Source organism: Homo sapiens, chromosome 10, assembly GCF_000001405.40.
Source record: "Homo sapiens chromosome 10, GRCh38.p14 Primary Assembly".
NCBI lineage: Eukaryota > Metazoa > Chordata > Mammalia > Primates > Hominidae > Homo > Homo sapiens.
The window spans coordinates 77,889,745-77,913,183 of NC_000010.11; the positions used below are offsets into that span (position 1 = coordinate 77,889,745).

At 49.1% G+C, this 23,439-nt stretch overlaps 1 protein-coding gene, 1 long non-coding RNA gene and 1 pseudogene across 10 annotated transcripts in view, besides 10 other annotated features; 1 reads left to right on the top strand and 2 right to left on the bottom strand.

The window, feature by feature from the left end:
* Positions 1–23,439, bottom strand: part of DLG5 (discs large MAGUK scaffold protein 5) — a 149,946-nt gene that overhangs the window by 98,954 nt on the left and 27,553 nt on the right. The window lies entirely within an intron of this gene.
* Positions 55–730: an enhancer, noted in NCBI's record as "H3K4me1 hESC enhancer chr10:79649557-79650232 (GRCh37/hg19 assembly coordinates)". NCBI's record gives its function as "activates a minimal SCP1, AML or CMV promoter by ChIP-STARR-seq in primed H9 embryonic stem cells {active_cell/tissue: H9 hESC(primed)}" and the evidence as "EXISTENCE:reporter gene assay evidence [ECO:0000049][PMID:30033119]".
* Positions 635–10,462, top strand: LOC101929347 (uncharacterized). Of its 2 annotated transcripts, XR_007062208.1 has the most exons (5): positions 1,649–1,736; positions 3,070–3,202; positions 3,388–3,567; positions 4,228–4,313; positions 10,388–10,462. It is a non-coding gene; the product is annotated as an uncharacterized LOC101929347 (long non-coding RNA). The 2 variants fall into 2 exon arrangements; XR_007062209.1 differs by lacking the exons at positions 1,649–1,736; positions 10,388–10,462 and adding an exon at positions 635–712 and having other exon boundaries at positions 4,228–5,354.
* Positions 2,081–2,754: an enhancer, noted in NCBI's record as "H3K27ac-H3K4me1 hESC enhancer chr10:79651583-79652256 (GRCh37/hg19 assembly coordinates)". NCBI's record gives its function as "activates a minimal SCP1, AML or CMV promoter by ChIP-STARR-seq in primed H9 embryonic stem cells {active_cell/tissue: H9 hESC(primed)}" and the evidence as "EXISTENCE:reporter gene assay evidence [ECO:0000049][PMID:30033119]".
* Positions 11,413–11,940: an enhancer, noted in NCBI's record as "H3K27ac-H3K4me1 hESC enhancer chr10:79660915-79661442 (GRCh37/hg19 assembly coordinates)". NCBI's record gives its function as "activates a minimal SCP1, AML or CMV promoter by ChIP-STARR-seq in naive H9 embryonic stem cells {active_cell/tissue: H9 hESC(naive)}" and the evidence as "EXISTENCE:reporter gene assay evidence [ECO:0000049][PMID:30033119]".
* Positions 11,941–12,468: an enhancer, noted in NCBI's record as "H3K27ac-H3K4me1 hESC enhancer chr10:79661443-79661970 (GRCh37/hg19 assembly coordinates)". NCBI's record gives its function as "activates a minimal SCP1, AML or CMV promoter by ChIP-STARR-seq in naive H9 embryonic stem cells {active_cell/tissue: H9 hESC(naive)}" and the evidence as "EXISTENCE:reporter gene assay evidence [ECO:0000049][PMID:30033119]".
* Positions 17,387–17,681: an enhancer, noted in NCBI's record as "tiled region #4447; K562 Activating DNase matched - State 5:Enh". NCBI's record gives its function as "activates a minimal TATA promoter and a strong SV40 promoter by Sharpr-MPRA in K562 cells {active_cell/tissue: K562}" and the evidence as "EXISTENCE:reporter gene assay evidence [ECO:0000049][PMID:27701403]".
* Positions 20,151–20,295: an enhancer, noted in NCBI's record as "145 bp enhancer 69 fragment used in the MPRA reporter construct; PK_construct_3580". NCBI's record gives its function as "activates an SV40 promoter by MPRA in HepG2 and K562 cells {active_cell/tissue: HepG2 | K562}" and the evidence as "EXISTENCE:reporter gene assay evidence [ECO:0000049][PMID:23512712]".
* Positions 20,151–20,340: a biological region, named in NCBI's record as "NFE2L2 motif-containing MPRA enhancers 69 and 123".
* Positions 20,196–20,340: an enhancer, noted in NCBI's record as "145 bp enhancer 123 fragment used in the MPRA reporter construct; PK_construct_3128". NCBI's record gives its function as "activates an SV40 promoter by MPRA in HepG2 cells {active_cell/tissue: HepG2}" and the evidence as "EXISTENCE:reporter gene assay evidence [ECO:0000049][PMID:23512712]".
* Positions 20,218–20,228: a transcriptional cis regulatory region, noted in NCBI's record as "NFE2L2 motif; MPRA enhancer 69 activity is reduced when this motif is scrambled". NCBI's record gives its function as "necessary for full MPRA enhancer 69 activity {active_cell/tissue: HepG2 | K562}" and the evidence as "EXISTENCE:site-directed mutagenesis evidence [ECO:0005528][PMID:23512712]".
* Positions 20,263–20,273: a transcriptional cis regulatory region, noted in NCBI's record as "NFE2L2 motif; MPRA enhancer 123 activity is reduced when this motif is scrambled". NCBI's record gives its function as "necessary for full MPRA enhancer 123 activity {active_cell/tissue: HepG2}" and the evidence as "EXISTENCE:site-directed mutagenesis evidence [ECO:0005528][PMID:23512712]".
* RN7SL284P (RNA, 7SL, cytoplasmic 284, pseudogene) lies at positions 22,527–22,801 on the bottom strand (annotated as a pseudogene).

The window sequence follows — 23,439 nt, forward strand, 5'->3', positions numbered from 1 at the left end:
GGAGGGCAAGAAAAGAAAAGGTGTTACAAGGAGGAGGCTAGAACCTATCCCAGGAGTAATCTGAGAATTGAGCCAGTGGTTGACAACCATCCTAGGAAGTATTTGGAAATGTGTGGAGACATGGTACGGTGGACACAATGATAGGGAGGGGCACTGTAGGTGGGAGCCAGAGATGGTGAGCATCCCAAAAGTGCAGAAGATCCCAAAGCCAAGAGCATCCACTGAGATATACTGAAGTCAGTTCCATCTACCCCAGCTGCTCTGACCATACCTGAACCACTGTACTCAGCACAAAGCCACAACAAATGTGGAAGGCAGGGAAGAACCAAGAGTTGCAAGAAGAAAAAAAATACAACATGCCCAAAAGGTGGTGATGAGGAAAAGGGGAAACTTAGAGGCAGATTGGGGCCAAAAACCTATAGACAACAGCTAGCAGGATTTACCAATGAGAACGGCAAGCAGCTTCTCAAAGAGGGATGCCCCTGCCAACACGGATGCTGAGCTGCAGCAGGATGTCTTCAGCTGGAGGGCGCTCTTGAGCCCATCAGCAGCCAAGGTCTACCTGTCCTACCTCCAAGCCTCTTGTGCTCGTCACTTCCTCTCCACTGCCACGATGTGGCCACACCTCTCATAGCTCAACTCATCTCATCCACCCCACGATTCACCTTGGGTCTCTAGGGTCCCAGGTTTGCCATTTACCACCACGGGCAAGGTACATAATACCTCTCTGCACCTCTGATTCCTCCTCTATAATGGCACACAGAGGATGAGGTCAATAATTACACTTTACGGCCGGGCACGGTGGTTCACGCCTGTAATCCCAACACTTTGGGAGGCCGAGGCATGCAGATCACCTGAGGTCGGGAGTTCAATACCAGCCTGACCAACATGGAGAAACCCCATCTCTACTAAAAATACAAAATTAGCTGGGCATAGTGGCGCATGCCTGTAAATAATTATGCTTTACACTTGGATGTCTCAAGGTAGCGCTGGAGTAGTTATTCTGAGCTACTGGAATATCAGCGAGTGCCACCTCCAGAGGGAGCTTCCCAGAGCCCAGCCCTGTACCATCTCTGAGCTTCCAGGAGTCCCCAGCTCTCCAGCCGCAGAATAAAACCTGCCTGGAAGCTGGCACTGGAGGGTCTCCATGGGCCCAGCCTAACCTGTCCACACCCTCCCAGGGCTCCCCCTTCTACCACCCACACTTCTGGCCAGACTATAGTGCCACTTGCTTATCACACCCAGCCCATTCCCAGGTGTTCCCATTCAGTTTTCTGATTCCACCATCACTACTGCCTCTACCAACATCCCAACCGACCCTTCAGGCCCAGCTCAAATGAGACCTCTCCGAGGAGTTTCCCAGATCCCCCTACCCAGGAATGACCTGCTCCCCTATCTCCCTATGCATGCCTCCCTATGGTTCTAGCTGATGTCTACTAGGCCTGGCTTCACCTATGAGGCTGGGGTCAGGGTGGTTTCATGGATGTGTGACCTTGTGCAGTCTCACAAGGCTCACAATTGGCTTCGCACTCTGCTGTTGCCATCGTGAAATCCTCAATGATTTATGTGCCGCAAGGAGCTCCCAATTTTCATTTTGCACTGGGCCTGCAAACTGCAAACTGCAGATGTGGTCCTGCTGAGGACTTCTCAAGGATGAGGCTTTGGTTTATCTCTGCATCTCACAGACTGCAGCAGTGACTGGGACACAGTAAGGACTTAACAAAGGAGGGAAGGTGGTGAGTCTCCATGTCTCTTTGTTCTGTGAGCAGCTGTCACCTCACACAGCTCATTATTCATAGGCTGGTGAGCTCACCTCTGTCCCCCAACAGACACACACACACACACACACACACACACACACACACACACACGAGAAGAAAGCAACAATTCAGCTCAGCTCATTCCCAAAAGCCACATTCCCTCCAACCCCGCTACACATCACTCCCACAGGACATCACAAAAAAAGGTCGCTGGATCCTACTGAAAATGCAGCCCCTCAGCACTTCATCTCAAACACTTTCTCCCACAGCAGGTGGCTGAGGGCTGGTGTGCTGAAAAGCTCACATTCTGCATGCGGGAACACTGACTCCGGAGCCATCCGGCTCTGCTGCTTGCTGGCTGTATAACTTTGAATGAGTCCCCTAGCACAAGGCCCAGAAAGGGGGAACCCTCAGGGATCTGGCTGTCCCCAGCCCTGCCCCTCTCTCAGACTCGACCCTGCCTCTTTCTGCAGGTTGGCTCAGAGACACAGGCCCCCAGGGATCACAGCACCCTGCCCTCATCATCTGCATTTATGGTCCCCACAAGTCCCAGACTCGGGAGGACGGACACACCCACAGGCCAAACAAGGCATTAGGAACATGGGATGGCACAGCTTCCTGGGATGCCCCAGCTTCCCGGGATGCCCCAGCTAATGGAATCGCACCCAGTCCTGGCTCTGATCGCAGTAGCACATCTGACACGTGCCCTCAATCCCTCCCTACCTCGTGACCCATAAGCAGCCTTTTGGCACAGGCACACAGCCATTAGTCAAGCAACCTGTGAGAAAAACACTGCCTGGCCATGCAAAACAAATGTAGGTGGCCCATTAGAAAGTGAGGACTTGTTTGTGAAAAGGTACATGTATGGAATGCAACAGCCTCCTCCCTCTGTATCTGACTTGGGAGCACTTTCATCATAAAATTTTGGTTGACACTAGATGTGTTCTTACTTGTAAGACAGCACAGTTATCAGGAAGAGTCACAGAATGTCAACAACAGAAGGGACCCCAAAGATAAAGTAGTCCAGTGCCCCATTTGACAGATGGGGAAACTGAGGCCTCTGTGTTCCCAGGGCCCCAGCCTGCTCCCCTTGGACACTGCACCTGTGTACTATATTGCCAATGACTGTTTACAAGACACCTCGCACACCAGACAGTGAATTCCTGGAGACCAGGGTGGTACCTTCATCTCTGCTGCCCTAGCTTCCCTCACAGGGCCAGGCAGCCAGGAGACACCCAATAAAGGATTGCTGAATTTCAAAACAATACGTGTACATGATAAATATATACAGTATTTGTCCATTTTAAAGGGTAATCAAGTTTTTAAAATGAAAATAAAGGATTGCTGAATAAATGAACAACCAGAGAGGCGGCCACCAGCCAAGGACAAACAAAGCTGAATCTGGAACACTGGCTTCCTGCTGTCCTCTCAGACTAAACGCAGTAGGTACTGGGTCACTGGGAGAATGGCAAGGCCAGTATGCTGTGTGTGCAGGGACAGGGCACCCCCAGGTTGGGAGCCAAGCCTAGTCCCAGCCCTGCCTCTGGCATTGGCATTGGCGTGCTAGCCATTTGACCACCAGAGCAGCCCCTCTCTGAAGCTCAGTTTCTTCCATTCTTGATTGCAGGACAAATAAACGTCACCTTACCTACCCACCAGTGTCTCAGCAAGGAAGGAGAGAGAGAAGGAAACGTCACCTTACCTACCCACCAGTGTCTCAGCAAGGAAGGAGAGAGAGAAGGAGGTGAAAGTGCACTGAAGACCTAATACACAATGTATACTTAAGCGGGACTGTCAGGGGACAAAGGTATTCACTGGGGACCCCCTGCCCCCACCCAGTAATGCTGCCACATTTTCCTTATCCACCAGCCCATTTACTCCTCCATAACCCTGTTAGGTAATGAGAACAGACATCTCAGCCCCACTTTACTGAAGAGAAAACAAGGTCGAGAGAGGCCATCGATAGTGTCTGTCCTCCAGTGGCCCTGCCAGGCCAAGGGGTTGGGGGCACGGCAAAGGGCTCCAGGAGTCCCTGCCCGCCCCAGACAGCAGCACCTGCCAATCTTGTGTATCAATGGGCAGCAGTGCTGGGCTGTGACTTGCCAAGTCCATAGTCAGTCCCTGAATGCCATAGGGAAGCATCTGCTCTGGACGGTCCCGTGCTTGGGGGCAGAATGACATAAGTCCAAAGTAGTTCAAACGGACCAGCAAAAAGTAACCAAAACATAGCCAACGGCCTGTGGACTAGAAGTCAGTGCAGACACCATTACCTGGTTTTCTAATTCTCCCTGGAGGAAACTGGATCAATGGGGGATGGGGGAAGGGACAGCAGTTTTTGACCCCCTACTCCCTGGGCCTGAACCCTTCCCAGAGCTGAGTCCTCTTCTCCACTCCCTACTGTCTCCCTACCCGGCGCGTGGCCCGCATGGGGCCTTCCCACAGGTGGACTGATTTTTCTGTCCCTCAGAACCAGAGCCAGTGGACAAAACCTCCGTTCCCAAACTCCAAGCCACCAATGGAAGGCCTCACATAGGAAGCTGTGGGTGGAAGATGGTGCGTTTCTACTGCCTGGTGGTTTTAGATCTCTATCGCCTACTCAGAATCTGAACCCTAGCCTGTGTGTGTGAGAGGCTGCACGTGCACATACAAAAACAGCAAGGTATCTACAAGGGGGGTCAGGATTGCAGAGGGGCTACCTGTGTGAGCTCTGGAGCCCAACTGCCTGCCTGGGAATCCCAGCTTACCCACTGACTAGCTGTGTGACTCAGGGCAAGTTCTTTAACCACTCTGTGCCTCTGTCTGCACCTCACTCTCCTTGCCCCTAAAACAGGGGTAAGCAAAGTACCCACCTCCCAGGATTTTTGTGAGGCTAAAATGAGATAACACCTAGCACACTTGCCAGACAAGAAAAGTTCTATTTTTCCCCAGCACAATGTTAATAGGGTTGCCTCTGGGATTTTGTGTGCTTTTCTTTTTCTTCTTCATTAATTAAATTTTCTACATGAATGTGCATGCTTTATTGTCAGCAAAGAATAAAGCTTTTTTTTTTTTTTTTTTTTTGATGGGGTAGGAAGAACAGCTCAGAATCCCAAGTAACCCTTTCTTTTAAACACAGAGGATGGAAGCAGCCCTCTCTCTGCTGGTCTATTTTAGGATCTTCTGGATGGGCAAGGAGTTCTACTGCCCAAAGCAGCCCAACCTTTTCTGCTCCCTGATTCCCAGCGTACCCCTTCCCCACCTCTGCCCATCCAGAAAAACTCAAATCTCACCTCCTCCAAGAAGCCCTCGCTGCTAGCTCAGCACCTCTCTTCCTCCTGGGGAACAAGGCCTTTCCTCACTCTGCCCTCCCCTAGCTGGCACTATCCACTCCAGAGGTCTTGTACCGGTCTCTGTTCCAGGGGCAAGGGGTTTGCCAAGACCCCAGCACAGCGGTCTTGAGGGGCAGGGCCACCTTCCTTCCTATGTCCTTTCAAAGCACTCGCTCTGCTTTTCTTCTTGGAACTTCGATACAACCTTATGAGAGGTGGACATGGGTTCAGGGAAGAAAAGTGATGAGCAGGTCACACTGCTGGACTTAACCCCAGTCTGACCAAGTCCATCAGGGCTCACTCTGCAGCCCCAGGCTGCTTCCCATGGGAGGCTCACAGCAGGCACTCAGCTGACAGACCCTCACCCGCAGGGCAGCACTGCCCTGGCCCATCATACATCTCTTCCTCCACCCTGTCCCCGCCAATGCCGTTTCACTACTCACGCCCCTTCTCCTTCCTCCCCAGGATTTCCCTTCTCCTCTGGCTGTGCTTTGGTCTGCAGTGACCCTAGCTGATGTTCTGAAGGTGTTCAGAGCTAAGGAGGCCAGTGACCCCACATCAAAAGGGGAAAAGAGAGAAAAAGTTTCTGAGCTTTGTAAAAGATGCTACTGGTTTTTCTCTGTTTTATGTCAAATAACCTGTAACACTCCTGGCAATGGTACATTTGAGCCCTGAGTATAGAAAAGAATTTGGCAGGACAGTTTAAAATGTCCAGACTTGAAGGTGTCAGATTTTGTAAGTGAAGAAATTCAGAACACAGAAGCAAACCTCAATTCAGGGACACTGGAGAAGTCCCTCAGCTGTTCAGACCACAGATTCTGTAAAAAAAGGATAGCAGATGTCCCCAGATCTCCCAGTCCCCTCCCAAGTTTCAAGAATTCTAAGGCTATCCTGGGGATATCAGTAGTCAGCGTAGGCTGGGCGCGGTGGCTCACGCCTGTAATCCCAACACTTTGGGAGGCCGAGGCAGGCGGATCACTTGAGGTCAGGAGTTCAAGACCAGCCTGGCCAACATGGTGAAACCCCATCTCTACCCAGGGCTCAAATGTACCACTGCCAGGAGTGTTACAGGTTATTTGACATAAAACAGAGAAAAACCAGTAGCATCTTTTACAAAGCTCAGAAACTTATTCTCTCCTTTCCCCTTTTGATGTGGGGTCACTGGCCTCCTTAGCTCTGAACACCTTCAGAACAAAAATTAGCCAGGCGTGGTGATGCACGCCTGTAATCCCAGCTACTCAGGAGGCTGAGGCACAAGAATTGCTTGAACCCAAGAGGCAAAGTTTGCAGTGAGCCAAGATCCCGCCACAGCACTCCAGGAGACTGTGTCTCAAAAAAAAAAAATAGTAGTGAGTGTAAATGTCTATATCATAACAACGTGTTCTAACAAAGATCTGTCAACCATGGATAATCCAGATTTTATTTGGCTAGTATAACGTTAGCATAACAACCAGTTGCAACATGTTTCTTCAGAGCCTAGATTTTTAAAAAATCTATAAAAGGCAGGTATAGGGCAATTAGAGAGATTTAAGAAGAACTATAGACTAGAGGATATAATTGCATCAGTGCTGAGGTTCTTGGGTCTAATAATGGTGGTGTGTCATGTAGGAATATGTACTGGTTTGTGCATACTTCAAGGTTTAGGGGTAAACTGTCCTGATGTCCACAACTTTTTTCCAAATGAATCAGGAAAACAAGTTTTATATGGATACATCTGCAGAGTGAGAAAGTAAAAAAGCAAATATGGCCCAGGCGCAGTAGCTCACTCCTGTAATCCCAGCACTTTGGGAGGCCAAGGGGGGGTGGATCACTGAGGTCAGGAGTTCGAGACCAGCCCAGCAAATATGGTGAAACCCTGTTTCTACTAAAAATACAAAAAAATTTGCCGGGCATGGTGACGAGAGGCTGAGGCAGGAGAATCGCTTGAACCCAGGAGGCAGAGGTTGCAGTGAGCTGAGATCACACCATTGCACTCCAGCCTGGGCCACAAGAGTGAAATTCCATCTCAAAAAAAAAAGCAAATATGGCAAGCTGTTAACCACTGGTGAGTCTCGGTGACGACTAAACAAGTGTTTATCGTACTTTCCCTTCCATTCTTTGATGGATCTGAACATTTTCAAAACAAAATGTCAGAGAAAGAAAGTATCATTAAAATGTTTAAAACAGAAAATTCGAAGAAAAATAATCCCACTGCCCAAATAATTCTATAAAATATTTGTTGCTTACTGCAGGAAAAAAAAATAGGCATCAAAAAATTAAAAAGCCAGGCATGGTGGCTCACACCTATAATCCCAACACTTTGGGAGGCTGAGGCGGGCAGATCACCTGAGGTCAGGAGTTCAAGACCAGTCTGGCCAACATGGTGAAACCCCATCTCTACTAAAAATACAAAAATTAGCTGGATGTAGTGGTGCATGCCTGTAAACCCAGCTACTCAGGAGGCTGAGGCGGGAGAATAGCTTGAACCTGGGAGGCGAAGGTTGCAGTGAGTGGAGACTGCGCCACTGCACTCCAGCCTGGGCAACAGAGAGAGACTCCATCTCCAAAAATAAATAAATAAATAAATAAATAAATAATTTTTGCTATTTAACAATTGATTTAAAAACAAGTGAGTAATGTTGTGCTACTGCTGCCATGTTTCATGTACCCCAAAAGGGAAAATATCCTAAGAGAATCTTTCCTCTTAATAAACTAATGTTTAGGCAAACAGATAAAAATAACACTTGAAGAAAAAATCTGGTTGGCTCATGCCTGTAAGCCCAGCACTTTGGGAGACCGAGGTGGGTCAATAACCTAAGCCCAGGAGTTCAAGACCAGCCTGGGCAACATAGTGAGACCCTATTTCTACAAAGAGAGAAAGAGAAAGAGAAGGAGAGGGGGAGGGGGGAAAGGGAGAGAAGGGGAAAGGGGGAGATAGGAAAGAGACAAAAGAAAAGAGAGGAAAAAGAAAAAGATCTATCATATAATTTCTTAGTGGTAGAATTAAAGAAAAAAAAAAGGATGTGGTTCCCAAAATGAGGGCCTATACAAACACAGGAGACATGATGAAGTTTGAAAATATTCTATCCAAATATTCTGGTCCCCTTGTCTCTGTGTCACTGGAGAGTGGTAGAATTTCCAGGCAGGTTCTATCTCCTTTCCCATAGATAGCATAGCCCCTGAGGCTCCCCAGAGACCCTCCGAAGTCCTGTGATTGCCCATTCAGGAGTGTGGGACCACCAAACACTACTCAAGACCAGCATGGCTTCAAGGAAGCTTTGGCCTCAGGGTAGCTGCTGCTACCACAAGCACCTTCCTCCCAGGAGCCAGAACAGCCTTCTCCATCAGCGCAGGTGACCAAGTGGCACATGGCTCACTTGGCCACCACGCTTAGGCCAAAGCAGCCCTGCATGTCCCCATCAACCTGGCCTCCCCAAAGACCTGGATTCTGTTTCCACATCTCCACCCTCTACCACACGTGGACTCTGCAGTTCCCTGGGACTTCACTTTTCTTGGAGAAGGAGAGAGAAAAAGGGAAGCAAATCCTGAATTGCTCGTAGGATTTAAAAACCTCTCCACAGAGGGGAGCTGGGGACAAGGTAGGGGAGACAGTGCTAGCAGCACAATCTGAGGACGGGTCCCCTGCCAGCCCTCCGGGCACACAGGGAGCAAAAGGAGAGGCAGAGGCACATGGGAGCAGGGGCTGGGAGATGCTGCATGGCGCAGGCTGTGGGCTTGGCTATTAAAGCCAGAAAAGGCCTGCCTCCTCCTGCCAATAGAGTTATCTTTTAATCCGAACCCCAATGACACCACCTGGCACCAGCGCAGGAGCAGCTCCTGACGGCACACGAGTCACGCGGCTGGGCCCCGCGTCTATCCCTTCAGGTCAGGGCTTGCCCTGAGTGCTCCTGAGGAAGTGGGCCCCTGCCCCCTCCATGGCCTGGCTCCTGACAGGCCTGTGCATGCCTGAGAGGGCCAGGCAGGCGGTAAGGAAGTAGAGGAAGCTCCGTGCTGTGCAAGGTCACCAAATGCTAGATGCAAAGACCCAGAAAGGGAGGGCACTCACCCAAAGTCACCCACGCCGGGACGGGGCAGCAATCCCAGGATTCTCCTCCTACCCAGATGCGGCAAAGAGGTTTGCAGCCCAGGACAGCTGTTATCAACTAGCCAGTGCTGGAAAACAGCAGGTAGCACCCCAGACCTGCCACTCTCCACGTACTCAGACAACTCATGGCCCAATCTGAAGATGGCTTTCCTCTGAATTCTCCCACATCTGTGCCCTCCTGCAGGGCTTGGTTTCTGAGGTCCCATCCGCCTTGAAGTTGGCAAGGGCTAGGGTAGCATGTAACCTATCTCCCTAGTAAGGATGGCACTGACTCTGCTGTGGCAGCATCCAGGCCAGGCAGCCATCCAGGCCCTCCCAGACTGGGGGAGCTCAGCACCTCCAGAGGCAGCCACCTCACCACAGACCAACACACCCTGCTGCAGCGTTCTTCCTTGTGGGCAATGGAAATCTGCCAGCAGGAACTGGTAGCAGAAAACTCCCCAAAGCCTGCTCCAATTCTCCACCCCAGTACAATGGGCGTGCCCTCAGGATTCCAACAGCCAAGGGCAAAATCCCGACTCACTGGCTTGGGACTCTGGGCAAGTGACTTACTCTCTCTATGCCTCAGTTCCCTCATCTGTAAAATGAGGAGAGTAGTGGCCTTCATCTTAGAGTTGCTGGGATGAGATGATCCTTGCAACCTCCCGGGGCACACATGAGTGGTCAACAAATGCTTTCTATGGCTACACTACAATGCACAGTTCCACAGGCTCAAGGCCCAGCTTTCTGCCCCTCTCCTCATACTCATTCCACTTTCTCATGACCAGACTTGTGCTCAGCAAGTGTCCACTCCTATAGGTTCGCTCAGGGGTAGCTGGCTCACCAGGGACACATTTTAAACCCTGGCCTCTTCCTCCAAAACTTCAGCTCAGAGCCTTGGCAAGCCATCCCTGCCGCCCACTGGAGATGGCTGACGAGAAAACCAGAAAGAGACCATGAAAGAGGAAGGCTCTTCTCACTCCTCACTCATCCTTATCTTGGACCAGTATCCTCCACACAACACCAACACCCAAACATAACAGCAAATGGATATAATCTTATCAATTTCATCCTCCACAACCTTCTACGGCTCCCTCTGGCCTAAAGTCAAAAAGCCTTACCCCAGACTTTAAAAGGAAGAGATAAACACTTAGTGAACATTTGACTATGTGTCAAGTTCTCTGCTCTACAGTGTATATATATTATATCATTTAATAACTCCCTCTAAAATTCGTCTTATTGCTTGCATCTTACAGGTGAGGAAGCTGAGGCTCCAAGACACTAGGCAACTTACCTAAGCGTCACAGCTCAGAAACAGAAGCAGATTTGGAGGCCAGATCTGGGAGGCCACAAGGCTGGGTCCTTGGCACAGCCTCTACCTCCTCTCCAGGTCATCTCCTGCAACCCCTCCCTGACCCAGCCACTGTCCAGTCACCACGGTGCCCATGGTCACCTGGCACACCTGGCTGTGTCCTACATTAATGCATATCCTCACGCTTCTGCTTCTCCTGCCTGGAACGCACCTACCTATCACCTAATGAACTTCTACTCAGCCCAGAAAGCTCTGCTCTCAAGTTATCTCCTTCAGGAGACAGACCTTCACCCCGGGGCCCCCTTCCATAAGAGAAAAACGATCCCCTTTGGCTGGGCATGGTGGCTCACGCCTGTAATCCTAACACTTTGGGAGGCCAAGGCGGGTGGATCACTTGAGGTCAGGAGTTTGAGACCAGCCTGGCCAACGTGGTGAAACCCCGTCTCTACTAAAAATACAAAAATAAAGCCTGGGCACAGTGGCTCACACCTGTAATCCCAGCACTTTGGGAGGCCGAGGCAGGCATATCACGAGGTCAGGAGTTTGAGACCAGCCTGACCAACATGGTAAAACCCCATCTCTACTAAAAATATAAAAATTAGCCAGATGTGATGACATGAGCCTGTAATCCCAGCTACTCAGGAGGCTGAGGCAGGAGGATTGCTTGAACCCGGGAGGCGGAGGTTGCAGTGAGCCAAGATCGTGCTACTGTACTCCACCCTGGGTGACAGAGCGAGACTCCGTCTCAAGTAAATAAATAAATAAATAAGCAAGCAAGCAAGCCGGGCATGGTGGTGCACGCCTATAGTCCCAGCTACTTGGGAGGCTGAGGCAGGAGAATGGCTTGAACCCGGGAGGCAGAGGTTGCAGTGAGCCAAGATCGCGCCATTGCACTCCAGCCTGGGTGACAGAGTGAAACTCCATCTCAAAAAAAAAAAAAAAAAGAAAAGAGAAGAAAAAAGAAAAACAATCCCTTTCCTTGGATGTGTTTCCCAAGCGCCCACAGCAAGGCACAACTTATCAGTCCCCAAGTCAGCTGTGCTGCCGTCTGCTCCCTAATGTGGACCATTCATCCTGACTACTACAGCACAGTACGTTTACTTGAAGAAGTGAATAAATGATGTTCCTTCTGACTTACAGACCAAGAAACAGGGCCGTCAGAGCAGACTTGACCTTTACAGGGACAACTGGTAAACAGCCCATCTACAGTAGCATCCTGGAGGTTACACCTGGCAAAGAGTTACCCCTTGGCTGGGTGCACCTGAGCAAACCCATCTGGACTAACGCCGGTGTCAGGAAGTAGCACATCCACACAGTGCAGCTATGGCCCTCTGAGGAAAGACTGCTGCATCGCATCAGAAAGGCAGCATCCGTGACTTCTGCGGTCCACGCTGACGGGTGGGGAGGCACCTTGGGGCCTCCTTCCCGCACTGCAGACAATGGCTGGGAAGCCCACACCCCAGCCTCCTGGCACTCTCACTTCTAGGCACAGGATGCAGCAACCCCTGGCAAAAGCAGCTCCTCTTTGCTGACCTGGACATAAGGACGCCAGGACCCACAGTGGGCCTGAGCCAACAGCACCCGGCTCCAACGGTGGAGCAGCCCAAGGTCCCCCTGGGGAAGGGCTGGAAAGACGAGCTCTCTGTCCTGACCCACTTCTCCCTGCACACTCTTCCCAGATCTGGCCTGGCCCAGCCAGAAAGCCAACTATGAGATCCTTCTCATCTTATGACATTAGTAAGAGAAATACTCACTCGTATGCTGGTATTAGCACATTAGACTCCCCAAGGCCACTCCCACTTTACAGAGGAACAAAGTGACACCCAGAGCCAAGTCCCTAAACTGAGCTCCTCTCACTCGCTGCCACCGAGCTGCACTCACACCACAGCTCTCCCTTAGAGGGAACAGACAGGTGTGGTCTCTGTCTCCCTTCCAGGACAGGCTTGGACACTGAGGAGATGCCGTGCCTATTTCCCAAACACCGAGTAAAAGGAACCCCTGGGGTCCAGCCCACACCCAGGTTCTGATTCACAGACCTAGGGTGAGGCCAAGGGGTTTAATCTTTCAGAAGCTTCCCCAGTGACTCTGAAAAAGCCAATCCAAAGACTGCACCCGGGGAACCCCAAGCGTGAACCCAGGACTGCTGTTTCAGCCCAGCAATTTGTATCAACAGCCGTTCAAAGTCCACACCCTTTGACCCAACAGCACCACTTCTAGGAATTCATCCTGAGAAAATAAAGAAGCATACAAAGATCTATAGCATGAGGTGATGCACCGCAGCATTGTAAGTACAGAAAAAATGGGAAATCTCTACATCTCCAATCAAGAAGAACTGGTGACATAAATCTCAATCAGGCAAGACTGTGCTCCCATTAAAAACGAGCCATTGAGGGCCGGGCGCGGTGGCTCATACCTGTAATCCCAGCACTTTGGGAGGCCGAGGTGGGCGGATCATGAGGTCAGGAGATCGAGACCATCCTGGCTAACATGGTGAAACCCCATCTCTACTAAAAATACAAAAAATTAGCTAGGCGTGGTGGCATGCGCTTGTAGTCCCAGCTACTCGGGAGGCTGAGGCAGGAGAATGGCGTGAACCCAGCAGGCGGAGCTTGCAGTGAGCCGAGATCGTACCACTGCACTCCAGTCTGGGCGACAGAGCGAGACTCCATCTCAAAAAATAAATAAAAAAATAAATAAATAAATAAATAAATAAATAAACGAGCCATTGAGCATCCCTCATTCTGGGCGACAGAGCGAGACTCCGTCTCAAAAAATAAATAAATAAATAAACGAGCCATTGAGCATCCCTCATTCAAAAATCCAAAATGCTCCAGAATCCCAAACTTTCAGAGCATCAACATGAGATAGTAACACCTTTGCATTCTGATGGTTCAATGTACATACACTTTGTTTCATACACACAATTATTTAAAATAGTGTATAAAATCACCATTAAGCAGCCGGGCGCAGCGGCTCACGCCTGTAATCCCAGCACTTTGGGAGGCCGAGGCAGGCGGATTGCTTGAGGTCAGGAGTTCGAGGCCAGCCTGGCCAATATGGAGAACCCCCGTCTCTACTAAAAATACAAAAATTAGCCGGGCGTGGTGGCACGTGCCTGTAGTCCCAGCTACTCGGGAGGCTGAGGCAGGAGGACTGCTTGAACTCGGGAGGCAGAGGTTGCAGTGAGCTGAGATTGCACCACTGCACTCCAGCCTGGGTGATAGAGTGAGACTCTGTCTCAAAAAAAAAAATAAAAAAGAAAAATAAAATTAAAAATACAATTAGCCGGGCATGGTGGTGGGCACCTGTAATCCCAGCTACTGGGGAAGCTGAGGCAGGAGAATCGCTTGAACCTGGGAGGCAGAGGTTGCGGTGAGCCGAGATCGTGACACTGCACTTCAGCCTGGGCAACAGAGTGAGACTCTGTTTTGAAACTCCATCTCAAAAAAAAAAAAAAAAAAAATCACTTTTAAGCTATATGTAGAAGGTATATATGAAACATAAATGAATTTCATGTTTAGACTTCGGTCCCATCCCCAGGATATCTCATTATGTATATGGGAATATTCCAAAATCCAAAAATAATCAAAAATCGGAAATACTTCTGGTCCTAAGTATTTTGGATAAGGGATATTCTGCCTGTTACAGCATCAGACCTAAAACTTGGAGCCCACTTCAATTAGTGCAGGAAGGACTGCAGATGGCATCTACATACACCATGAAGGTGATAGAACTCCTTCCCTGACATGGCTGAGGTTCTACTTGAATATTCCCAGAAAACAAGAGCTCTCGCAATTCCTTAACAGTGGTTTCTGGCAATTAAAAGGCTGCTCTAAGTCAAGTGTGGTGGTGTGCACCTGTATCTCAGCTACTCAGGAGGCTGCAGTGGGAGGATCAGTGGGAGGATAACTTGAGTCCAAGAGTTTGAGGCTGTAGTGCACAATGATCACGCCTATGAATGGCCACTGCACTTCAGCCTGGGCAACATGGCAAAACCCCCATCTCAACAAAAGGAAAAAGAACATGTTGCTCCTCTCATTCTGTCTTGCTGCCACCATGTTAGAAGTGCCTTTTGCCCTCCACCACGATTATGAGACCTCCCCAGCCATGTGGAACTGTTCATAGGCGGAAGGGACTTGCCTTGTCTCAGATGAGACTTTGGACTGTGGACTTTTGGATTAATTCTGAAATGAGTTAAGACTTTGGGGGACTGTTGGGAGGGCATGATTGGTTTTGAAATGTGAGGACCTGAGATTTGGAGGGGCCAGGGGTGGAATGATAATGATTTGGCTGTGTCCCTATTCAAATCTCAACTGAATTATATGTCCCAGAATTCTCACGTGTTGTGGGAGGGACTTACGGGGAGGTAACTGAATCATAAGGGCCGGTCTTTCCCATGCTATTCTTGTGATAGTAAGTCTCGGGAGATCTGATGGGTTTATCAGGGGTTTCCGCCTTTGCTTCTTCCTCATTCTTTCTTGCTGCCACATTGTAAGCAGTGCCTTTTGCCCTCTGCCATGATTATGAGACCTCCCAGCCATGTGGAACTGTAAGTCAAATTAAACATCCTGTTCTTCCAAATAAAAAAAAAAACAAAAACATGTTGCTCCTAATCCTGAGCAGAGTTTTACTTTCCTGAAGGTAAAATCTCCTGGCTCCGGCCGGGCGCGGTGGCTCAGGCCTGTAATCCCAACACTTTGAGAGGCTGAGGCGGGTGGATTGCCTGAGGTCAGGAGTTTGAGACCAGCCTGACCAACATGGTGAAACCCCATCTCTACTAAAAATACAAAAATTAGCCGGGTGTGGTGGCAGGTGCCTGTAATCCCAGCTACTCGGGAGGCTGAGGAAGGAGAATCACTTGAACCCGGGAGGCAGAAGTTGCAGTGAGCCGAGATCGCGCCACTGCACTCTAGCCTGGGCGACAAGAGCGAGACTTCATCTCAAAAAAAAAAAAAAAACTCTCCTGGCTCCTTGTCATTTTTAAAAATATTTTCATAGAGATGAGTTGTCACTGTGTTGCCCGGGCTGGTCTCAAACTCCTGGGCTCAATCGATCCTCCCACCTCGGCCTCCAAAAGTGCTGGGATTACAGGCATGAGTCACCTCATCCAGCCCATCTTCCTGTCTTATGTAGTATCACAAGCTCAATAAACACGTGGAATGGAGTGGTTGTTTTCCTAGACCATTCATACTTTTTCCACTATGGCCAAGATGAGAATATGGGTTTTTACAAGCACTGCTGATGCATATTCACAATGCCATCTTTAAATCAAGTGTTTGCGCACCTCTTCCTTCCACAATCACCTAGCTAATCATCCTTGTCCCTACGTTAAAAACACCCTTGTCCCTGCTGTGTCAACTATCACATGACCTGAAGTTGTCCCTCCCCACCTGGTGACCTTAACAGCTATGTAACAGCATGGGTAACTCTTTACCAAGACCATTTCTGGGTGAACGACCTGCCTGAGGTTGCCAGCTCAGCCAAGGCACAAGGTGCCACAGAGTTGAGTGATGGAGCACAGCCAAGACCCTCCCCTCAAAGACAGCACTAGGATGGGAAAGAGATGTATTTATTTCCTCTTCTCTCTCTCGTCTTATTTATTTCCTTTTATTCCCATTTCCCTCCCCTCACCCACAGTCAACCATTCTCTTGTGTTAATCTGTTCATATTCTTGCAAGATGGGTATTGTTCTATATCAGCAATCTACATAATAGCACTGCACCATCCATGCTCTATTTCTTATGTTTTCACTGAGCACTGTGCATTTAAATACATCATGCTGCCTGCCACGTGTGCTTCTCACCAGTCACTTGGAATTGCTGCAAGGGACTACAGACTCATACCCACCCATTATACCCATTTGCTCTGCAGGAATGGACATCCAGCTCTACCTCACCACCACAAACAACACTGCAGTGAACACCCTGGACCTTCCCCTTAGGACCTGCATGAGAACCTGGGGAACTGACACCCATGGGAGGGGCTTCTGGGTCAGGGCTTTGCTGGTACCCTGCCAGAGGCTCCAGGACAGCTGCAACTGCAAAGGCAAGAGTTCCTGCATCCCCACACCCACTGCTGATAGGCAGCATCCAGCTTTCTAGTTCCCACCAGTCTAAGAGGTGAAACAGGATCGAGCTCAAGGTTGTGTTCCAGTATGGATTCTTACCAAACCTGACTGAACCGTACCTGCTAAGGGAATGGCAGGAAAAGCACTTGTACCGTAAGCATCACTGGTGTGAAATGGAAACAACTGCTCATTGATAAGTCTCCACTGTGAGGCCTCACTTTCTTGAATCGTCAGGGACTTCTGGAACACAAATGTCATGCACTGGCCTACAAAATGCCATCAATCCCACCTTCTCCCACTGGCTGAGGCTCCTCCCAAGGAGGTCGACTGTTCAGGATGGGCAGCAACAGTGCTGCGCTCCACTTTTTTTTTTTTTTTTTTTTTTCCTGAGATGGAGTCTCACTCTGTTGCCCAGGCTGGAGTGCAGTGGCACAATCTTGGCTCACTCCACCATCCACCTCCCCAGTTCAAGCGACTCTCCTATCTCAGCCTCCCGAGCAGCTGGAAGTACAGGCACGTACCACCATGCCCAGCTAATTTTTATATTTTTCAGTAGACATGGGGTTTCACTATGTTGGCCAGGTTGGCCTTGAACTCCCGACCTCAGGTGATCCACCTGACTCAGGCTCCCAGAGTGCTGGGATTACAGGTATGAGCCACCGCGCCTGGCCCAGAGCTCCACTTTTTTATTTGCAATCACATCATCCTTCTATTGATGACTTACCTGCAGCTCACACTACACACCACTCACCACGTGATCTGACAACACTGAAGCAGTCTATACCTGTTCAATGAGTACTAGCAAGGTCAAGTTGCTCTAAAGGTTGCTAAACACTCAATCTCTGTGCTTGCTTACTTCATCACAGACCAGGAACCAGAAGATTGCAAACCAGCACTGGTCTGTAGACCACACCCTGAGTTGGGGGTAGAGTAGGGAGAAACAAACCAACCAACCCGCCCTGGATGTCATGGCTGGGCTCCTGCCCCCCTATGCCACTTAAACAGCCATGGAACTGGGACAATCATAAGAATGAAAATAACTGGGCCGGCGCGGTGACTCATGCCTGTTATCTCAGCACTTTGGGAGGCCAAGGCAGGCAGATCACTTTAGCCCAGAAGTTCAAGACCAGCCTGAGCAACATGGTGAAACCCTGTCTCTATAAAAAATACAAAAAGTAGCCAGGCACAGTGGCATGCACCTATAGTTGCAGCTACTCAGGAGGCTAAGGTAGGATAATCAATTGAGCCTGTGAGGTGGAGGTGGCCATGAGCTGAGATCATGCCACTGCACTCCAGCCTGGGCAACAGAGTTATACCCTGTCTCAAATACACACATAAATATAGCAGCTTACGCTTACACAGTACTTACCATGTGCCACACACTGCTGTCAACACTTACTAACTTATTTAACCCTCACAATACAAGGTCCTGTTATTATCCCCATTCCACAGATGAGGAAACCAAGGCACAGAGAGAGAAAGCAATTTGGCCATGGTCACGGTAAGTGGCAGATTCAGGATTCAAACCCAGTATCTTGGCTCAGGTACAGGCTCTTAATTACTCTCCTAAACTGACTCCTGAGTAACCCGGCCTTCCTTACCTGTTTCCTCACTTGTAAGGTCAGGTAAGGACCCCTAAAAGGTTGCTGGTGAGATCAAATGAGAAAATAAATACAAAAATAATAAAGTATCCTATGCAACACAACACCTACCACCTACACAGCATACAACCACCCATGTGTGGCCATGAACCTGCAGCAGCCACCTACCTTTCACACAAGCCACAAGAGGGCGAGGGAGTCACGGATCCCACTGCAGAGGTGAGGACATGAGGCCTGGAAAGCAGAGGTACCCTCAGCCCCCTCTCTCCTTAGCCATGCTCTTCTCCTCCCCAAAGAGACAGCCACAACACAGGAACATGTCCCACACTCCCCAGAGGACACACCAACTCTATTTCCAAACATCCCCACTGTAACTCTCAGAGTTGAAACTGGGGAGAACGCTGGCTTTCCAATCCTCCTAGCAACTCACAGACAGCCAGTCAGACACCTCAGGGGATCCTGGGAAGGCCAGCCAGTCTACATCCTCACCTACCCACCTGCGGCCACCGGGTCCTCCTTCACACATCACAGACCACCCATCAGCCTCCCACCCAATGCCAACCCAACCCATTCCCCTCTCCAGCCCCAGCAGCCTCACAAGAGAACCAGCCCAGAGAGAATGACTGGAAGGACAGCAGAGGCTGGTTGGCCTGGCCTCATTTTTCCAGCACCTGCTGAGCGAATGCTCCAATCAGAAGCCCTGAATTACCAGACAAACCCGCCAGTCACAGAATGGATTCTCTCCCAAGTCCTGCTCTGTGCTCTCCCCTCGCCAGGTCTACCTCCCTCCTTCCAGCCGCCTGCCTATGCCCAGCTCACCATACACCCTCCTTCCTTAGGCACTGAAACTTCAAGCAGCCTCACCTGTCTGGCACTATCTGTACTACTAGATACCCACTTGTTCAAGTTTTCCAACAAGACAATAAACTCCTGGGGGGTGGGGGGAGAGAAGCCATCTTCTTTGTTGCCCTTCTGAGAATCTGATGGATTTTTAGACACAAAAACACTTGCCATGTGCTATAAAGCACAAAATGGAAGGTGAGAAGGAGGAAGTCAGTATAAGCTAGGCTGATTATTTTCTGGTATTTCTAAAAGCTCCACAATAGAGCAATTAAAAAGGAAAACCTTTGAAACACAACAGCAGGATATATATGTTCCAGCTAAAAGAACGAATCCAGGTTGGAATATTGTTCATGGTAGATATCTTTCCATCTTTGCATGCTCAGCACTTAGCCGAGCCTGGTAAAGAGTAGTGACCAGGTACTTGCTGGAGAGATAGACAGATAAACTCTTGTCAGAATCTGGGCTCCACCCTAAAGCTTGTGTTATCTCATGCAAGGAGAAGACACTGTGACCAGCTCCACTGAGTTCTCATGAGAAGCCTGAAGATGAGGGAGGTTACAGAAAACCAAATACTGCATGTTCTCACTCCTAAGTGAGAGTTGAACAATGAGAACACATGGACACAAGGAGGGGAACATCACACACCAGGGCCTGTCAGGGGTGGGGGTCTAGGAGAGGGATAGCAACAGAAGAAATACCTAATGTAGATGACGGGTTGATGGGTGCAGCAAACCACCATGGCACGTGTATACCTATGTAACAAGCCTGCGTGTTCTGCACATGTACCCCAGAACTTAAAGGTATTAAAAAAAAAATGAGGGTGGCTGAGGACAAAAGATCAAGACTACATGAAATTTCACAACTTCCCACAGAAACAAGGACAGCTGGTCACCGTTTTGTTCTCTCTCCCTGGGCTCACAAAATCGGGGGAAATGCAACAAGATACAGAAAGGTGGTTTGCCATTTTCTAGCAAAAATGAGTGGGGGGATACATAGGCGCATATATACTCACACCCACAGCCCCTAAACTCTAAACCGCCATGGGTTTAGCTCCGTTTTTTTCAGGAGAAGGACTCAAAACCAGCACATTTTGGTTTTGTTTACTTTCCTGCTTTTTCTTGGATCCAGCTCCTACTGAGATTGGCTATCAGGGTGGGTCCCAACTCAGTGTCCACGGGGCCTTATCCTCTTATCTTTATAAAAGGCTTTTTTCCCTGGGACAAGAGGCCCGGTGGCCTCATTTTCCTGCCTGAACTCTGCCCTGTGACTAAGCAAGAAGAAGCCACGGCAGCCAGCACCCAGAGTTTCTGCTGTGTCACAAAAAGGAGTCATGGGTCTCCCTGCCAGCATCAGACCCATTCCCCGACTCAGCACTCAATTTAGATATCACGTCCTACGTCTACATCCAGAAAGCCCCCAGTGTGACAGATGCTCAGAACACATCTGCTGAATGAATGGACGAATGCTGTGACGAAGAGAGGTGGAGAGGTAGGCAAGGCTCAGACCACAGAAATGGTCACAGGGTGGCCTGCAGTACCGAGTAAAGGTAGTCATTATCAAAAAACTGACAAGGACTCCAGGGCTTGCCTAGCCTCTCAGCAGCTGATGGCCCTGAGCAGGCTACCAAACTCTACTGGCCGAGTGTGCCCATCTGTAAAAGATAAATATCAATTGCAGAGGCTGATAAAAGATTTTTTTCATTGATCAGGAATTAAAGGCTGTAGCTCAAGTCCAGAAACTGGGATGCTGTGTCACTTGCTCACCCTCACTGTAAAGGCTGGTGCCCACAAAGCCAGGAGAATGTCAGGAAAAACTAGCCACGGATCTGAGACTTCCCACCCAGCCTGCTCCTGGTAAAGAAGTCTTGGAAGGAACCCCAGCCTGGGAAGAGACCTGTTTCTCATTTGTAAAATAAGGAGTTTGGGCAAAGTGGTTTCTAAGATCCCTTCCAGCCATGGCATTCAACAATCATAGGCTCCTTAAGAAATGTAGGCCGGGCGTCGTGGTTCACATCTGTAATCCCAGCACTTTGGGGGGCCAAGGCAGGTGGATCACCTGAAGTCAGAGTTTGAGATCAGCCCGACCAACATGATAAAACGCCGTCTCTACTAAAAATACCAAAAATTACCTGGGTGTGATGGCACACGCCTGTAATCCCAGCTACTGGGGAGGCTGAGACACAAGAATCTCTTGAACCTGGAAGTCAGAGGTTGCAGTGAGCTGAGACTGCACCACTGCACTCTAGTCTGGAGTGCAGCCTGTGTGACAGAGCGAGATTCTGTCTGAAGGAAAAAAAAAAAAAAAAAAAAAACATAAACAGGAAAAGAAGTTCTGGTCAGATGAGAAGAAAGGTTACTTGGAATGAGAATAGAGGTTACCATGAATACTGAAAAGGCCACTATATATTTTTTTTAAGAATTAAAGTGTTTTATTGATTGATTGATTGATTGAGACAGGGTCTTACTGTCCACCCAGGTTGGAGTGCACTGGCCCAATCTCAGCTCATGCAACCTCTACCTGTCAGGTTCAAGGGATCCTCCCACCTCAGTCTCCCAAGCAACTGGGACCACAGGCATGCGCCACAGCTAATTTTTGTATTTTTTGTACAGATGGGGTCTCCCTATGTTGCTCAGGCTGGTCTCGAACTCCTGGGCTCAAGCAATCCGCCTGCCTCCCAAAGTGCTGGAATTACAGGTGTAAGCTACCACACCTAGCCAGAATTAAAGTATTTTAAAGTATTACTTCTTACGTTAAAATATGTAAATAGAATTAGATTTTGTTTCCTTTGTTTTGCTATCACCTTCCTCAATATTGGCTGGAAAGATCTTTACTACATTTGGATAGCAGATTGGCAATGGTCAAATATGTGCAGATTTAATTTGGGGACTCAGGGGTCATCTTAGAGCCAGGGAGGTACCATTCAGACAAGCAAACTGGGGTGGACTCTGAAGAAGAGGTTTGAGAGGCATGCCACATCTATAAAAATCCTGTTGGCAGGGAAAACACACCCTGGCTTGAGGTGGCCACCAGGGCAGCAGCTCTGAGTCAGAGATGGCCATCTCTAATGGCACCGCTTTCCACACGGGCAGCCCTGCAGCCCCCACGGCAGGCTGCATGTTAGCAGGAGCTTGTTTACGCATAAAAACGAACAGTTCTCTTATGCAATAGAGGGGTAAGGCAAACAAGTGATAACATTTTCTTAAAAAAAAAAAAAAACAGGCTGGGTGTGGCAACTCATGCCTGTGATCCCAACACTTTGGGAGGCTGAGGAGGGAGGATCACTTAAGGCCAGGAGTTCAAGACCAGCCTGGGCAACACAGCGAGACCCCATCTCTATGAATTTTTTTTTTTAATTAGCTCAGCATGATGGTGGGTACCTGTTGTCCTAGCTACTCAGGGAGGCTGAGGCAGGAGGATCGCCTGAGCCCAGGAGTTCAAGATTACATTGAGCTAGGATCATGCCATCAATCATGACAGCATGGGCAACAGGGTAAGACCCTGTCTCTTTAAAAAAAAAAAAAAAAAAAGGTTAATTTTTCTATTTATATCTATCTATCAATTTATTTATAGAGATGGGGTAGGGTCTCACTATGTTGCCCAGGTTGGAGTGCAGTAGCTATTCACAGGCATGACCCCACCACTGATCAGCATGAGAGTTTTAACCTGCTCCATTTCTGACCTCCTTAGGCAACCTGGTGGTCTCCTGCTCCCAGGGTCACCATATTGATGCCAAACTGGCCACCTGATTAGCATAGCACACTACAGCCCAGAACTCTTGGGCTCAAGCGATCCTCCCTCCTCAGCCTCCCAAGTAGCTAGGACTACAGGAACATGCCAGCATGCCCACAAGAATAATTTTTCAAAAAAAAAAAGTAACCACTGCTCACTGCAATTGACCTTCTGATGGGATTTTCACTCTGCTCCTCCCCACATCACTGTCCTGGTTAACAGAGAGTGGTTTTTACTCGCCACAAAGTGGCTATGTGTCTTTTTTAAAAGCACAGTTCATCCCAAGAGGAAACCTACAAAGGAAGCAGGTGAAGACAAGAGTACCCAGTGAAAACACCATCTGCAGCCTCTGGCTCCAGCAGTGGCTCACCACCCCAGCTCAGCTCACGCAAAGCAAGGTGAGGCTTTCAGGTGGTGCTTCCCTCTCCCACATGGGGAGCATCTTAAACCAAAAGCAAGCAGACCAGTGGTTTTCAAACTGGGTTCTGTGAACTGTGGAGAACCCCAGGGAAACCTGTGGAGGAGCCTCAAGAAGGCCACAAGCTCAAGGGACAAGCTCCAAGCCCATACTCCCCATCAGTGCCTCTCTCGTCTAATTTACAGATCTGGCTCTCACCTAAGAGTGCAGTTAACAAAAAAGACCTCATGGCTAAAAAAAATAAAAATAAAAAACTTAAGTCATAAAAGACATTTACACTTTGTACGTGTTATTTCATTTAATTGTTTGCATCAGCCCTCTGAGGAAACCATGGCTAA